This window comes from Homo sapiens, chromosome 9, assembly GCF_000001405.40.
Source record: "Homo sapiens chromosome 9, GRCh38.p14 Primary Assembly".
Classification (NCBI taxonomy): Eukaryota; Metazoa; Chordata; class Mammalia; order Primates; family Hominidae; genus Homo; species Homo sapiens.
This window is the reverse complement of record NC_000009.12, coordinates 74,297,662-74,315,528: the sequence shown is the minus strand read 5'-3', so window position 1 is coordinate 74,315,528 and position 17,867 is coordinate 74,297,662. Positions and strand designations below refer to the sequence as shown.

At 33.3% G+C, this 17,867-nt stretch overlaps 1 annotated feature.

Moving 5' to 3' along the window:
* Positions 12,422 to 12,716: a silencer, noted in NCBI's record as "tiled region #9175; K562 Repressive non-DNase unmatched - State 24:Quies". NCBI's record gives its function as "represses a minimal TATA promoter and a strong SV40 promoter by Sharpr-MPRA in K562 cells {active_cell/tissue: K562}" and the evidence as "EXISTENCE:reporter gene assay evidence [ECO:0000049][PMID:27701403]".

The following is a 17,867-nucleotide window of genomic DNA, read 5'->3' as shown; positions in this document are numbered from 1 at the left end:
CACATATAAAGAGATTTATTACAAGGAATTGGCTCACCTGATTATGGAGGTTGAGAAGTCCTAAGATCTGCGATCTGATAAGCCAGAAAATCCAATGGTGTAGTTCCAGTCCCAGTTCAAAAGTCTGAGAATCAGGAGAGCCAATGATGTGGTTCCATTCTGAAAGCCAGGAGGCTCCAGACCCTGAAAGAGCCAGTATCTCAGTTCACATCTGAAGGAAGGGGGAAAATGGCCACTGACATCCCAGCTCAAGGCAGTCAGGAAAAATGAATTTTCTTTTATTCAGACTTTTTGTTTTATTTAGGCCTCCAACAGATTAGATGAGGCCCATCCACATTAGTAAAGTCAATCTGATTTAATCAGCCTACCAATTCAAATGTTAATCTCATCAGAAACACCCTCACAGACACACCCATAATGTTTGAACAAATATCTGGGCACCCTGTGGCCCAGCCAAGTTGACACATAAAATTAACCATCACAAAAATCAACTAGAATTTCTCTTATCAAGGCCACCAACATTTATTTTGTTGCCAAACCCAATGGACACTTTTCAGTCTTTATCCTACCTGACTCCTCATTAGCATATAACATGCTTGCTCTTGATAAGCTTCTCTAATCTCATTGATAAATATGATTACCATCCTAAACACTGTATCTCAGCGTATAAACCCACTTTAAGTCTTTCTTACATGTTTTCTTTCTCTTGCCCCAGAAACTTTGCACCTACTGCTTGCTGTGTTTGAAACTTTCTCTGCAGCCCCAATCCCTGTTCAGTGATCCTTTTACCTGTATAAATCTCACCCATCCTTCATTTTGCTAAAATGAAATCTTGAGGGAAATTATCTTGTGTCTTATAATTATATTCCCAACACCTAGCACAGTCACTGATGCAAAGTTGTTGAACAAATGGGAGAAAACCAGTAAACATGTTTTACTCTGGGGAAAAGTAGAATAAATATTAGTAAGCTTAGTCTGGACATGGGGGCCACACCTGTAATCCCAGCACTTTGGGAGGCAGAGGCAGGTTGCTCACTTGAGGTCAGGAGTTAAAGACAAGCCTGGCCAACATGGTGAAACCCCATCTCTACTAAAATACAAAAATTAGTCAGGCATGGTGGCACACACCTGTAATCCCAGCTACTCGGGAAGCTGAGTCAGGAGAATTGCTTTAACCCATGAGGCAGATGTTACAATGAACTAAGATGGTGCCACTGCACTCCAGCCTGGGTGACAGAGTGAGAATCGTCTAAAAAAAAAAATTAATGAGCTTATAGCTAACCATTTCAGGTAAAGAACAGCGTGAAAACATTGTAAACAATTCTATGAATTTCTTTTGGTTTTAAGGGTAAGCAGATTACTGAGCATATTCAGTAACATTATTAGAGGAAAAACAGGAGACACTCTATTTTTAAAAATCCAAAACCAAAGACATTCAAGAAAAAAAAAGAAACACTCCATTATCTTAACAACTTTATTGAGATATAGTTCATTTACTATTCTAGTGACCCATTCAAGGTGTTGCTTTTAGTATATTCACAGATATATGCAACAATCACCACAGTCAACTTTAGAAGATTTTTTATCACTTTGAAAAGAATCCCTATCCATCACTCCTCATCTCCCATCCCTGCCAGCCCTAAGCAACCACTAATTTACTTTTTGTATCTATAGATTTCCCTATTTTGGACTTTCTACTCTACTTTCTGTATCTATAGATTTTCCTATTTTGGACTTTCATATGAATGAATCATATAATAAGTGGTCTTTTGCAACTGCCTTCTTTCACTTAAATATGTATTTTTTAAGGTCGATTCAAGTTGTAGCATGTAACAGTACTTCAGTCTTTCTTACGGCCAATTAATATTCTATTGTATGAACATTTCATTTATCCATTCATCAGATAATGGATATTTGGATTGGTTTTGCCTTTTGGCTATTATTAATAATGTTGCTATAAACATTTGTGCATAAGTTTTTGTGTGGATATATATTTTCATTTCTTTGGGAGTGGAATATAATGGGTCATATGGCAACTCTATGTTTAATTATCTGGGGAACTGCCAGACTGTTTTCCAAAGTGGCAGCACCATTTTGCGTTCCTACTAGCAGTGTATGAGAGTTCTGATTTTTCTACATCCTCATCAACACTAGTCATTATTTGACTTTTTGATTTAGTCACCATAGTGTGTATGTAATGGTATTTCCTTGTGTTTTTGCTTTGCATTTTTTTCTGACAACTAATGGTGATGAGTATCCTTTTTTGTGCTTATTGACCATTTTTATATCTTCCCTGGAGAAATTTCTATTCACATCCTCCTCCCACTTGTTAATTGGTTTATTTATTTTTTATTATTGAGTTGTAGGAATTCTTTATATATTCTAAATACACGTTCTTTATCACATATATGATTTACAGTTTTCCCCCATTCTGTATTTTCCATGTTCTTGATGCTATCCTTTAAGCATAGAAGCTATTAATCAGATGAAGTTCAATTTATCTGTTTTTTCTTTTGATGCTTATGCTTTTTGTGTGATATCTGAGAACTCTTTGCCAAATTCAAAATCATGAAGATTTACTCTTGTATTTTCCTCTGAGAATTCTATAGCTTTAGCTCTTTTGTTTAGGTGTTTGATACCTTTTGAGATAATTTTAGTAATGGTATAGGTTAAAAGTCCATCTTCAGTCTTTTGCATGTGGTTATCTAATTATTTCAGAACCATTTGTTGAAATTAATAGATGGAAGGGTTTGTTTCTGGACTCAACTCTATTCTGTTGGTCTGTATGTCTATCCTTTTGCCAATATATGCTATCTTGATTATCACTGCTTTATACTAAATTTTGAAACTGTGATGTGTGAGTGTTCTTACTTTGTTCTCCCTTTTCAAGATTGTTTTTGGACTTGGGGTCCCTCGCAATTCCATGTGAATTTTTGAATCAGCTTGCCAATTTCTATGAGTCAGCTGAAATTCAGATAGGATTACATCTAATTTATAGATCAGTCTGGGGAGTATTAACATCCTAACACTGTCAACTCTTCCCATCCATGAATATGTAATGATTTTCCATTTATTTACATCTTCTTTAATTTATTTTATTTTAACAATATTTTGTAGTTTTCAGAGTATAAGTTCTGTATGTATTTTGTTAATTTTATTTTTATGTATTTCATCCATTTCGATGCTATTGTCAATGAAACTTTCTCTTCATGTTCAGAAATTTTTACTGTAAGTAAAAATTACAACAAAAATATAATTTTTTGTTGTAATTTTCTTCTGGTATCCTGTAAACACTCTAAACTCTTTTTTGGTTTTTCTTTCTTTTAGTAGATACCCTAAGGTTTTTTATCAATAAGATTATATCTTCTGAGAATAGAGAGAGTTTTACTTCTTCCTTTCCAATGTTTACGGAACATTGGGTTCCATGATGTCGAGTGAATGAACATTTCATTTTCATTTCATTTTCTTGCTTAATTACTTTGGCTAAAACCTCCAAAACAATATTGAATAGAAGTGATGACAGTGAACGTCTGTGTTTTATTCCTGATCTTATGGGAAACCTCCAGTCTTTCACCATTAAATGTTTTTCCTGTGAGGTTTTTGGTAAATGCCCTTTATCAGCTGAGGATGTTCTCTTCTTAGTTTGCTGAGTGTTTTTATCATGAAAAGGTGCTAGTGTTTTTAATCAAGTGCTTTTTCTGCATCTATGAGGTAATCATTTTATTTTTCTTCTCTATTCTAACAGGTATGCTATACACTGCATTAACTTATTTTTTGATATTAAATCAACCTTGCATTGAGGGAATAAATTCCACTTGGTCATGGTTTACAATTCTCTTTATATGCCAGATCTAGTTTGCTAGTATTTTATTCGGATTTTTGCATCCCTATTCTAAGAATTCTTGGTCTATAGTTTTCCTTTCTTGTAATTTGGTTTTGCTATCAGAGTCATACGGGGTTTGTAAAATGAATTAAGAAGTGTCTTCTCCTCTTCTATTTTTTGGAAGAGTTGGTACATAATTAGCATTACTTCTTCTTCAAGAATTTTTTTTTTTTTTTTTGGAATTTACCATCCCAAAATGGTAATACCAAATAAATGTTAATAACATTTACCAATAATACCAAGTGAAAGGGTAATACCAAGTAAAATGGTAATACCAAATAAATGGTAAATGGAATTTACCATCTTGGCCAGGGCTTTTCTTTGTGGGTTGTTTTTGATTACCAATTCAGGCTCTTCACTTGCTATAAGTCCATTCAGATTGTCTATTTCTTCTTGAGCTCGTTTTAGTGATTTTCATCTTTCTAAGAATTTGTCCATTTCATCTGTTATCTAATTAGCTGGCATAGAATTATTCATATATTCCTTTATAATCCATTTTATTTCTATAAAGTCAGTAGTAATATCTCCTTTTCATTTCTGATTCTTGTAATTTGAGTCTGTTCTCTCTCTCTCTCTCTCTTTCTGTGTGTGTGTGCATGTGTGTGTGTGTGTGTGTGAATCTAGCTAAAAGTCACTCAATTTTGCTGATCTTTTCAAACAACCAAACTTTGGTTTTATTGGATTTCTCAATTTTTTGTCTCTTCTTTATTTCATTCTTCTACTTTTATCTTTATTATGTCCCTTTAAAATTTCTTGCTTTAGGTATGATTTACTCTTCTTTTTCTTGTCTTGGTGTAAGTTTTTTATTTGAGATCATTCTTCTTTCTTAAAATAGGCATTTATAGCCAGACATTTTCCTTTAAGCACTGCTTTACCTGGATCTCATAATTTTTGATATGCTGTGCTTTTATTTTTATTTACTCAAAATATTTTATTTTCCTCTTGATTTTTTTCTTGACCCATTGGATATTTATGTGCATTGTTTAACTTCCACACATTTGTTAGTCTTCCAATGTTTTTACTGCTATTGGTTTCTAATTTCATTCCATTGTGGTCAGAGTACATACTTTGTTTATATTATTCTTTTGAATTCATTAAGGTTCATTTTATAGCCTAGCATATGGTCTATCTTGGAGAATGTTCCATGTGCTCTTGAGAACAAAGCAGACTCTGTTATTGCTGGGTGGAGTATGCTATTGCTTTCTACTAGCTTTAGTTGTCCATCTTCAAAATGGAATACTAATCTTTGCACTGTTGTATTAAGTGGAAGATGTTTGAATCACACTTGATAATACACATAAAACAATTTTGTAATTGGACTGCTATACTAGTGACTTTCAACTGGGGGTTATTTTGTTTCCAGCTATGGTTTGAATGTCTTTCCCATAGTATCTGTGTTGGAAACTTAATCCCTAATACAACAGTGTGGAGAAGTGGGACTTTTAAGAGGTGAATATGTCATGAGAACTCTGCCGCCATGAATGAATTAATGCTGTTATTGTAGGAGTGGGTTCAGTGTGGAGAGTTTGGAGTTCTTATAATGGATGAGTTTGGCTCCCTTCTCTCTTGACATGTTAGAGCAAGAAGAACCTCGTCATATTTGACTTTTTGATCTTGAACTCCTTAGCCTCAAGAACTATGAGACAAACAATTTCTGTCCTTCATAAATTAACCAGCCTCAGGTATTCTGCTATAGCAGCACAATATAGACTAAGACACCCCCTGAGTGACATTTGGCAATGTCTGATGATGTTTTTGATCATCAAAACTGGAAAGGTGCTACTGGCATCTAGTGGGTAGAAGCCAGGACTGCTGCTAAATATTCCACAAGTCACAGGACACCCCTCTAAAATACATGGTCTAAAATGTCAATAGTGCCAATGTTAAAAAACTCCATAGTATTCGTGGGTGGCCCAGCAGTTGCAGAATAAATGCTAAGAGGAGATGGAGGTAATGTTTATAAACTCATGGAGAACATACATAAGGAGAAGTTAGGTTTAGTCTCAATTCATTAATATCTTAAGCAAGGATGTATTCATTTGACTTTGAAAAAGTAAGTTGAAAAACGTATATACTGAGTAGGTCTTACACTATACATGCAATCACATTTAAAAAATGTGCGCAAAATAAAAATTCTAGGCCGTCCATTATATTGTGACATTTTCCCATAAAAATGGTACAATAATAGTAAGAATAATTGGAAAAAAGAAAGCTTATATTTGGGTTCTCATAATAAAAATATGTGTAACACCATAAGTAAAAATTTTTACAACAACCAATGTATTAGAAAGAAATGTAAGACCTATTTGTCTAGAAAGAGGAATAATTTTCAGCTCAAATCAGGAAATTCAGTTTCAAAGAGGAAGATAGGTGTTTTGACAACCTGAAGAGTAAAGCTTTTCTAATTTAAAAGACGTAAACAGCCATCTAAAGCAAACAAAATGGGTAAGATCATGAGAAAGAATTTCTACCATGTAATAATACCAATCAAACTTACTAAAAATACACTTATTAATATTTTGTGTTTCTCTAGAAAAGATGGATCTAGTTTTAAAAACTAGTAAATTATTTGAACTTAAAGGTACCACAGTGTGGGGTTTCTGTGAGTTCAGGGAAAGATATTTCTATCTCTGTTTATTAAGGGAAACAAAAGATGTTATACAGGGCACCTTTGACTTTTTACGAGACACTGAAAACCACTTCTGATCTACCTCAATATTTTTATCGCTTACATTCCCCAAAACAGAATGTAATTCTAAACAAGTACGACATTTGGATGTTATTATAACTGTGATTATTCTGATATTTCTGAGTTTGCAATATGTACCCTCAAATCTGATTCACTCCTACATGTATCCCGAGAAGGCATAAACACAATCACAGGAAAATGACAATTTCCTTTACTAAGCCATATCTCTGGTACATTCATTTTAGTCAAACTTCTAACTTCGCTGTCTTTCAGGAGCTTTAACGTTTTCAAAAGCTCCTTAGAGAATCTTTCAAGCAAAGGGGACTTAGAGTCACACATTGTGAGGCTGAACAGTCAATGGGAATGCAGATAATAAGAACTTAGCAAACCATTAGCATGCAGCTGCTTCATTTCTTAGAGAACAATTTTTTTGTACAAGTGGACCTCATTCTTTCCGGGTTGCATTTACTGCAGAACACCTCAGGAAAAGGCACCATTTGCAAGATTTTTAGTAGAATGGACCATCCCCAGAACTTTTCAAATAGCTCACCCTCAGTGTTGCATGTGATAAAGATCCATAAATTTCATGGGATTCTTTTTTTATAATAGGCTGCTAATCACCCTTGATCCTATGATAAATTTAAATACTAACTAATCCACTTTGAATAGGGATTAAGCTTCAATGTAGGAGGAAAGTATTCATTAGAATTCATTATATCAATTTGTAATTTGAATGATACATCTTCTAAATAAGATACTGCAGTTTCTAGTCGTTGTTAACTGGGAGCTTAAACATCCTTATCATTAATTAATGGAAAGATAAATAAAATCTGTAACAATTGAGGGAATGCTTACCCCCACCTCCCTTAGCTTCCTAAAGTATCTAGTTATGATTTTTAAGATGAACAATGCTAAAATAGAATAATCACCATAGTAGAAGGGAAAAATAACAAACTCAAGTTTCTTATGTCAAGGATAATTTGATGTGCATGAAAAATGGAATACATATTGCGGACTTCCTTATTTTGATGTATGCTTTATTCATGTTGATCTCATTGTTGTCAAATTATCTTATAAATTCAACATGGAAATCAGATCAGATAATCATCTATCACTGTCTTACATTTTCCATATTTGGAATAAAAATATCTAATACCACTGAGCTAAAGTTGAGTAATAGCTTCCAAACCTAAGTAATATTTTATTCCAAGTAATTGCTACTGTAGTACAATGATTTAAATTTTGATCTTAAGATATTTAAGTCATGAAATCAGAATGAATTAGACATTCCTCTTTCTCTCCCTTTAAAAAAATAAAGACTTCTGTAAGTAGTCATTTGTGAACTTAATGAAGAACATTAAATTTCTGGGGCCTCAGTACTTAAGAAAGTACTTCATTCAACTGAAAACACTAAATCATGACTTAAGCAGAGTAAATTGTTCTTAAGTTTTAATGCTATACTTGTGTAGACTGTCATAAAACTTGATGTTCAGAATTTGTATTCTGCTGAATTTTGTGGCTTTTTAAAAGTAATTTTATCAAGATTGATAGGAATATAATAGCGAATGCGTGCTTGGCACTTGATGTGTGCCAGGCACTGTGCTAGTGCTTCATGCAAATTAATTCTTTTAGTCCCCATAACAGCCTTGTAATGCAGGTACTGTTGGAAATATCATTTTATAGATGATGAACATAAGGCTAGAGATTAAACGTATCCAAGCTCACACAGAGGGTTCATAAGGGAGCTGGGATTCGAACCTGGTTAAAGTGGCACCAGAGTCTGTGCTTCTATATATTCTGTTATATGTACAGTTTGTTGGATGCTCTATGTCTCTGGTATGTTCATTTTAGTCAAACTTCAAACTTAGCTAAGTCTTTTATGTCCTCCCAGCGGTCCACTTCCTATGTATTTGCGCATGTTTTCTGGCTTCCATAGCAGAATAATCTCCTAGTCCTCTTCTTCAGCTCATGATTGAATTTTTTTAAGCTTGTGTCTCAAAAGGAGCCCAACTCACTTTCATAACCCTAAAGCCACTCTGGTGAAAAGTGCCATCATTGCAGGCAATTTCCAGAAAATTTATTCGATTCTTCTATTTATCATCCTACTCTTCACTTCCTTTTTTCCACCAGTTAGGTCCTGACCTCCTAGCATGCTTACATAATAGAACTGGTGGTAAATTTTGACTTCTTTGATTTTTGACCCTAAGTCTTTCATAGATGACAGCTTGTGTATTATTCCCTTCATTTTCTGCTGCTGGTCTTATATATCATTTTATTCTCTGTATCTTCCTTGGTTTATATTGTTCACATGTTAATGAAAATTGAATTGTTTAAGTAATGCATATACTCTGAAGTGTCAGTGCCTTAACGTAATAAAGTCTCCCACCTCCGCCTCAGCTCTGATGCCAGGAGCAGATGGTATCCAAGGGAAAAAGAGTATGGTGGATATACGCTGATTCTCAACTGCCTTAACCCCAGAGTGACATATGTTCTGGTTGAAAGTAGTTTATTGCTACAACTTAAGTGAGAGGGTAAAAGGGAAGCATAGGGGACCACACAGAATGTCTGGTGAGTATTGCCGATCTTTCCCACAGTATACTAAGACCTCAACAATTTTTTCTGTATAAGTTATCAAACAGTCTTTTATCCTATTCTGTAAATGAATTTATAACCTGCTTAAACTATTTTCTCTTGTACTATTGACATGTAGTAAAGATGACTTTACATCATTGAAAGCCTAGAGTACAGGATATTTTTAATACTAATAATATAATAATATTTTGCAATATTAGTAATAAACATTAGCAGATTCAAAGTCAGGCAATAAAGGTGACATTTAGTTAGGTCCATGAGGACATAAGGAGAAAAAATTAAAAAGAAAAAATACCTAATTGTACCAGTGTGTTGCATTTCCTCTCAATTTCTCTTGCCCTATCTTCCATAAATTTTATAAAGTGGAGCATAAATATCAAGGAAATTCCCATAAGAGTATATTACAGACCAAAACAACTAACTATGTTATTGTCTCAGTGTTATGGGGAGTCTCTTGTATATGGAATTCTGAGGTAGGCAAGCTGTATCTGATTGTCCAGGCTTATATAATGGTTTTTCAAAGAACAGAAGCAACATTTCAGTTTGAAATCCCTTTGTAAATAGGTAAAACTGTAAATATGCATATTTATTTGTATCTTTATAAGACAATGAGGGTGCAAATATGAGGTTATTTCTTGTGAAAGGGTAAATATGTCTTCATGGAGATTGATCTTAGAAAAGAGCAAAAGTGTTTTTGTTTTAACCTGGTCAAAGACCGCTGTCATATAAAACGAATGAGATCTCCAACTTGAAATCTCCTTTACATGATTCAGTCTTCTCTAAATGTCTAAAATCCTCATATTGTCACTTTTCTCCAAGATCCTCAAATTTATACTGACCACCACATGAATGTTCTCTATGGTTGGGCTTTCAGGTTAAATGATGCCACCAGCCAAAAGTATAATTTCTACTTCCATTGCCACATCAAGCGAAACAGAAATACTAGATACTGGATAGGAAGAAAAAATAATATAATTATAGATTATTGGCACTTGCTATAAGGAGAAAGTAACTTTTAAATTGATCAATCACGTCTATATTTCTTCAAATCATATAGACTGCTTGGAAGACAACTTTAAGGAACTAATACCTGCAAAACTGTTAGTTCATATTAAGAAAAAACAACAAAAATAAGCTTTAATGTTTTGACTTTCTTTCCCTTTTAATTTTACATTTTATTTTCAAGATTAACTTTTGATCCAATCGGCCTTTATTTTTTGGTTTTAGCCATTGTTGATAGAATTTATAACCCGTTTTTGGAGAGTGAGTTTTACATACAAGCATTTCGTTGTGGTAATTAACATATCTTGTTTTATTTTATTGTGAAATATAATTTTTTGTCCCATGTTCACCTAACATTTGTAGAGTAAGCCTAAGCTATGAATGCTTTCTAAAAGTTTACATCGAAATATTCCTGTCAACATTGGAGAAAGTAGTAAGATTACATTTTTACCACTAATCATGCAAATGAGGCTCAGCAGGAGACAGTTTACCCAGTCAGGCATTCCATGGATTCATACTGAACTTTCTTCAAGGACTAGTTGGCTGAATAAAATACCTTCATTGTCCTGAAATTTGTCCCAGTCAAATCCTCTCTTTCAAATCCTGCACAATAGAAGGCTTGGGTCCTCACCAAGTCCTTGTTTACATGTTTAAGCACATTTTTTTTTCTTTTCCTATTCTTTTGAAAAATTGGCCCTGCCTATTGGCATCCAAGCTACCCATCCCCATGTAGAGGTTGGTAATCTTCTGGGTTGGAAGTTAGTGAGGATCATAATTTGTATATATTAAAAAAAATCAGACATGCCACTGAAGGATCAGGCATCAAATGGTTTGGCTCTTCTTCATGAAGTACAATACAGTAGTAATTCTCCTGTTACCAGAATGGAAAATCTTATTGACTGTGATCCAGCCAGACTTTAGGAAACCCTACCAATGTCAAGAGCTGAGTTTGCAAAGTGATGGCCATAGTCCGTATTTGGTAGAAGGCTGTGTTTTGGCCACACTCACATGCTTTGTTTTGCCTTACATATATTAGGGCCCACATTTTTAAAAAAGTCAGGATATTTTGCAGAAAAGTTCGGATTTAAGTGTCTCTTCAAAACTCAGAAATTCCAGCACACAGAACCTACATGCCCTGCATTCAGCTAGTAGTGCCTAGTGCCTGCCCTCTTTGAGCGAGGCACATGGACTCCAGATCACATTTCCTCTGCCGCCCACCCCAACTGTCAAGTGTCCTGTGAGACCTGCTTCACTCATTGGCGTGACCTGCCTCTCCCCCGCAGCACTTGACCTTGTGACTCTCTAAGTTGTTCTTGTTCTAAGCGTGGCCTCAGTGCCACTTTCATCACAATCACCTGGAGTGTTCACTAAGTTTGTAGATTTGGGGGCCTCCCATTTCTGGGCCATTACATAATCTGAATGTAAAGAAGCTCCAGAGGAATGAAATATACCAAATTTTGCAAATCACTAGTGTAGTTCACTGGATATTTAGTGGACATGCATATGTAAATCATTTGGTGATTTTGTTTTTAAACTACGAGCCTTTGACTCCTGACCCAACACCCTAACCCCTCCTACCTTCTGCATTGTTTGACTTTTAATTATATGTAATATATTACATGCAATATATTCATGGGCAATATATGTATTATATAAACTATATGTGATTTATTATTTATAATTATTAATTATATACATTATATTAATTATATGTAATTTAAATGTATGTAATAGTATGTAATATATTTATTTGCACTATAATTATATGTATATTTAATTATATGTAATATAATTTATGCAATAGGTAATACAATTCATGCAATATGTAATACATGTAATTTAAAAGTAAATTACTAAATATTAAATACGTTAAGTATTAGCTGTATTAAATATTAAATACATTAAATATTAAATTAAATTTAATACATTTAATTATATGTAATTTTTAATTATATAGAATATGTACATATACACGTACATATGTAAATATGTATATATACATTTAATTAGATAGAATATGTATATGTGCATATTCCATATGACTCAGGAAAAAGTGTTGCTCCTATAAATATAAAATTTGAACCAAAAGTAATCTTTTTTGAGACGACGTCTTGCTCTTGTCACCCAGGTTGGAATGCAATGGCGCGATCTCAGCTCACTGCAATGTCCCGGGTTCAAGCGATTCTCCTGCCTCAGCCTCCCGAGTAGCTGGGATTACAGGCGCCTACCACCACACCTGGCTGATTTTTGTATTTTTAGTAGAGACGACGTTTCACTATGTTGGCCAGGCTGGTCTCAAACTCCTGACCTCAGGTGATCCACCCGCCTCTGACTCCCAAAGTGCTGGGATTACAGGGGTGAGCCACCACGCCTGGCCTGAATCAAAAAGACACCTGACTGGCTGTGTTCTTGGGCAAGCAGAATCTGAAAGTGGTGGAGTTCCTGCACATTCACAGTGCATTCCTGAAACTCGTTTCACCTCCCTTTTCTTTCTCCGGTCAAGTTGTATTTGCTTTTTATCTTTCCCTATTGGGAAATTACTGTGTTCACCTGTCTCATAATTTTACAGCAAGTCTACATAAACTTAGTGATAAGTATCTTACAAGCCACAGGAGTCTTCATCTTCTTGTCCTTTTTCCTTCATTTTACAAGATTAAGCGCTAGAAAAAGCTTTTATCCCTCTGTGAAACTAGACATTTTAAAGCTAAATATTGAGGGTTATATAATTTACTGTGCTTCTTCTCTTTTTATTTGGGTGAGCAAGAATTTCAAAACCAAATTTAAAACTCAAATTTAATAATTGTTTAGATCTCTATGACTGGAGTATCTGCATTTTAACTTCAACCCTACTTGGAATCATTTGTTCTAATCTTTTTGAACCTATTTCTGAGAATTATTTTAATATGTTTATATTATATGTATATTTTAAATGGTTAATTTAAAAAACTGAATGTAAGTGGGTGTGTAAATGCAAAAAAAAAAAAAAGCTAAGAAGCCTAATTGATTTTCTTTGAGCCAATAAGTTTCAGGCTAATGTACACTCTTATAATTAGTTTTTACTCACTTTTTTTGTTGAATGCCAACTGATCATCATACAAGGCAAACAAATTTTTTAAACTGAAGTCCAATTTACATATCAAAAAATGTGCTGATCTTAAGTGTACGGTTTCATGAGTGTTGACAAATGCACATAATCATTAACTTGTACCACTATCAAGCAATGAAATATTTCCATCAGTTCTCTCATAATCCTTCCCAGTTAATCTCCAGCATCCAGAAACAATCACTGGTCTAATTCTTTTTTTTTTTTTTTTTTTTTTTTTTGAGACGGAGTCTGTCTCTGTCGCCCAGGCTGGAGTGCAGTGGCGCAATCTCGGCTCACTGCAAGCTCCGCCTCCCGGGTTCACGCCATTCTCCTGCCTCAGCCTCTGGAGTAGCTGGGACTACAGGCGCCCGCCGGGCGTAGGCCCGGCTAATTTTTTGTATTTTTAGTAGAGACGGGGTTTCACCATGTTAGCCAGGATGGTCTCGATCTCCTGACCTCGTGATGCGCCCGCCTCAGCCTCCCAAAGTGCTGGGATTACAGGCGTGAGCCACCGCGCCCAGCCTCACTGGTCTAATTCTTATCATCATAGTGTAGTTTTGCCTATTCTAGATCTTTCTGTAGATAGAATCATAGTATGAACTCTTTTATATGAGGCTTTTGTTCACTCAGCAAAATGTTTGTGAGACTTATCCATGTAATTGCTCATATTTGTAATTGCTCATGTTTTTAATTTGTTCATTTTTATTGCTGAGTAGTATTCCATTGTATGAATATGCCACAGAATTTTCAGTTCTATTTAAGGAAATCAGGCTGTTTCCAGTTTGGGGTTATTATAACAGAAACAGAAGCTGCTAAAAATATTCCTATACAAAGCTTTTTGCGGTTGTATTTTTTCATTTGTCTAGATACATATGCAAGAGTAGAAGTGTTGGTTCTTAGGGTAGATGTACTTCTAACATTTTAAGAAAGTACTAGATTTCCAAAGAGATTTTACTGTTTTACCTTCCCATTGGAAATAGGACTCTGATTGTTCCATATCTTCACCAGGATTTAATGTTGTCTTTTCTGTTTAACTTCTAATAACACTATAATGATATCTCATTAATTTGAATTTCAATGATGGCAAAGGATATTGATTACTGTTTCACGCATATATGTGCAATTCACATATCTTATTTTGTGAAGTGTCTGTTCAAGTCATTTTTCCATTTCTTTGGTGGAGAAGTTGTTTTTCATGTTATTAATGAGTTGTAGGAGTTAGTTCTTTGTATATTCTAGAGATAAATTAGATATATAGGACACAAATATTTTGACTCATACAGTATATATATTTTCTCAATGTTTTGTTTCTTTCGATGAGCAGAAGTTTTAAATTTTGATGAATTCAAATTTATCATTTCTTTCATCATTAGTGTTTTCTGTTTCTTCTCTGTGAAATCTTTGCCTACTCCCAAATTATAAAAAATTCTCTATATTTTATTTTCTGAAAGCTGTATAGATTTAGTTTTACATTTAGCTCCAAGATATATATAAAATTAATTTTTGTGGATGGTGTGAGGTCAGTGTGAATATATGGATATTTTTCAAAACTGTTTGTTAAAATACTTTTATTTCCCTATTGAATTGTTGGGGCTCTGTTAGTGTATATCATTTTACCATATATGTATGGGTTTATTTCCGGAGTCTCTATTGTGTTCTATTGATATACTTCTGTTATTTTGCCAGTGTCATACTCCTTTTATTTCTATAACTTTAAAGTAAGTCTTGAAGGCAGGTATTCTTCCTATATCATCCATCTTTTCTAAGATAAATTTGGTTATTTTAGGTTCTTTGCATTTCCAGAAAAATTTAAAAATAGGATTGTCCATATCTACAGGAAGTTTTTTGCTGGAATTTTGCTCAGAAGTGCATTGAATCTATAGGTGAATTTGGTGACAATTGACATTCTGGCATATTGAGTTTTCCAAATCCTTAAATATGGTGTATCTCTACATTTCTAAGCCCTTTAAAATTTCTCTAAGCAATATCTTATAGTTTTCATTCAGAGATACTATATGTCTTTTGTTAAACTTATCCTGAGTGTTCCATATTTTGGTGAGCAACTGTAAATGTTATTATACAGTAATTTTAATTTTGGTATAATTACATTTCTAAGCCTTTTAAGATTTCTGTCAGCAATATTTCAGAGTTTTCATTCAGAGATACTACATATCTTTTGTTAAACTTATACTGAGTATTTTATATTTTGGTGAGCAATTGTAAATATTATTATACAGTAATTTTAATTTCATTATCCAATTCTTTATTGTTAGTATAAAGAAATGTAATCGATTTTTTTCATTAACTTTATATCTTATGACTTTGTTAAATTTACTTAATAGTTGTGGCAATTTTTTACAAATTCTTCATATCATCCTACATAATCATGCTATCTTTAAATAAAGACAGTTTTCTTTCATTCTTTCCAATTTTAAACCATGAATTTAATTTACTACCATATTGCACTCACTTAGGGCTTCCAGTACAACACTAAATAAAAGTTGTGAGAGAAAGCATTCCCGTCTTATTCCAGATAATAGAGAGAAAGCTTTCAAAATTTAATCATTAAATATGACAGGGAGTGTAGGTTCTGTATAGATGACTTTTATCAGGCTGAAGATTTTCTTCTATTCCTAGTTTGCTGTGAAGTTTTTTTTTTTTAATTCTAAATGGAAATTGGATTTTGTCAAATGCTTTTTCAGCATCTATATTATATAATATTTTCCCTTTTAATCTGTAGATGTAATAAATTATATCTATAAGTTATATTTGTTGATTTTCAAAAATTAAACCAACCTTGCATTTTTCCATTATATATTATCCATTATATAATATATTACATATATTATTCCATTATATATTATTTTTTAATATTTTAAAATATATTCCTGGATTTGATTTGCCAATATTTAATTAAGAAGTTTTGTGTCTATGTTTGTAGGGGTATTTGTCTGTAATTTTCTTTTCTGATGATGTTCTTGTCTGACTTTTGTATCCGAATTATTCTGACCCCATAAAATGAGTTGGTAAATGTTCTCTCCTCTTCTACTTTCTGAACCAATCTGTATAGAACTGATGTTATTTCTTCTGTAAACGTTTGATAGAATTCACCAGTGATGACATCTGGGCTTGCTTCAACTTTTTATATAACAAATCTGGTTTATTTAATCCACCTAGATATGTTATCATAATTTAGTTTTTATTGTGTCTGTTTTGGTAAATGGCATGTTTCAAGGAATTTGTGCATCTTATGTATATTGCTGCATTTATCAGCATAAAGTACTCATGATTACCTTTTATAATCACAAGGCCTGTAAAATCTATGGTTACAACCCTTCATTCAATGTTGGTATCTAAAGTTTGTGCTTTGCTCTTTTTTCTTGATGATTCTTGTGATAATTTCTATCAATTTTAGTAATCTTTTCAAAGAAGCAAATGACTTTTTTAATAATGTTTGTTCATTAATTCACTAATTTCTGTATTTTTTTCTCCCATTTTGTTCTGTTTACTTTGTATTTAATTTACTTTTTTCCCCTTCACTTCTTAAGATATAAACATAGATTATTAGCTTTATATCTTTCTTCTTTTCTCCTATAGGGAATAAGCTATTAATGTCCCTCTAAGAATGCTTCAGTTGCATTTGTTGCATTATTTCATAGCTTTTGTTTTTTTCACAGCTATATTGCTGGATTTTCAGAAAAAAATATTTCACTTTATGGCTTTAATTATAGCATTGATATTTAAAATATATAACATAGCAGTGCTTTCGGGGCATTGGTAAATAGCTCTTCCAAAATAATTTGAATCACATAGCATATTTTTCTGGAAAAGAAGCTTTCAGTTTGAGAAAACTATCATACTTTCTAGGCTAATTTTAAAAAAATCCTTATTTGAAAATAGCAAGCCACCAAATTGCATGTAAATTGTATGAATTATTATAATTTTTCTTGCTGAGCTGGTAGCTCTCTGTTAACATTGGTTTCAACATTCAAAGGGGAAGAACAAAAACCTGAGTCAAAAATAATTTTAGAGGCTATCATCTTTTAATGTTAGTCAAATCTTTGACCAAACTCTCTTATGATCAATTTCTTCTTAAAAACATCAATGTATGTTTATTTCAATTGCTCCAAACTGAAATATAAGACAGTTTTTGTTTTCAAACTTTTTTTCCAGTTATTTCACAGTTATCATTCAATGTCCTGAAAATTCTGCTTACTTATTGAACAAACAGGAACCTGTTTAATGTAGCCAGAGTAATTTATTATATTGCTGTTTGAGGATTCCTCACATAATGCATTATCTGTTTCCTTTCATGTCTCTGTACATTAACGTTTATATATTTGATCATTTAATGTTAGACTCTAAAGAAATGGGTCCTTAGTTAGTAACAATAGAGTTTAAGCCAGTTGTAAAGGAAAAGAGTGCAGTTTCCTGGAGAAAAGATACATATGAAAACAATCACACATTGATTCTCATTTTTGTGTTATATAAGTGAGTTTGGACATTGAATAGAATGTGTTGCTGACATCAATAGTGGCACTTTAGCTAACTAACAGAAAGTGCTCATATCTTGCCATGAGGGTCAGGAAAAATGGATAATATGTGGAAGTAATATA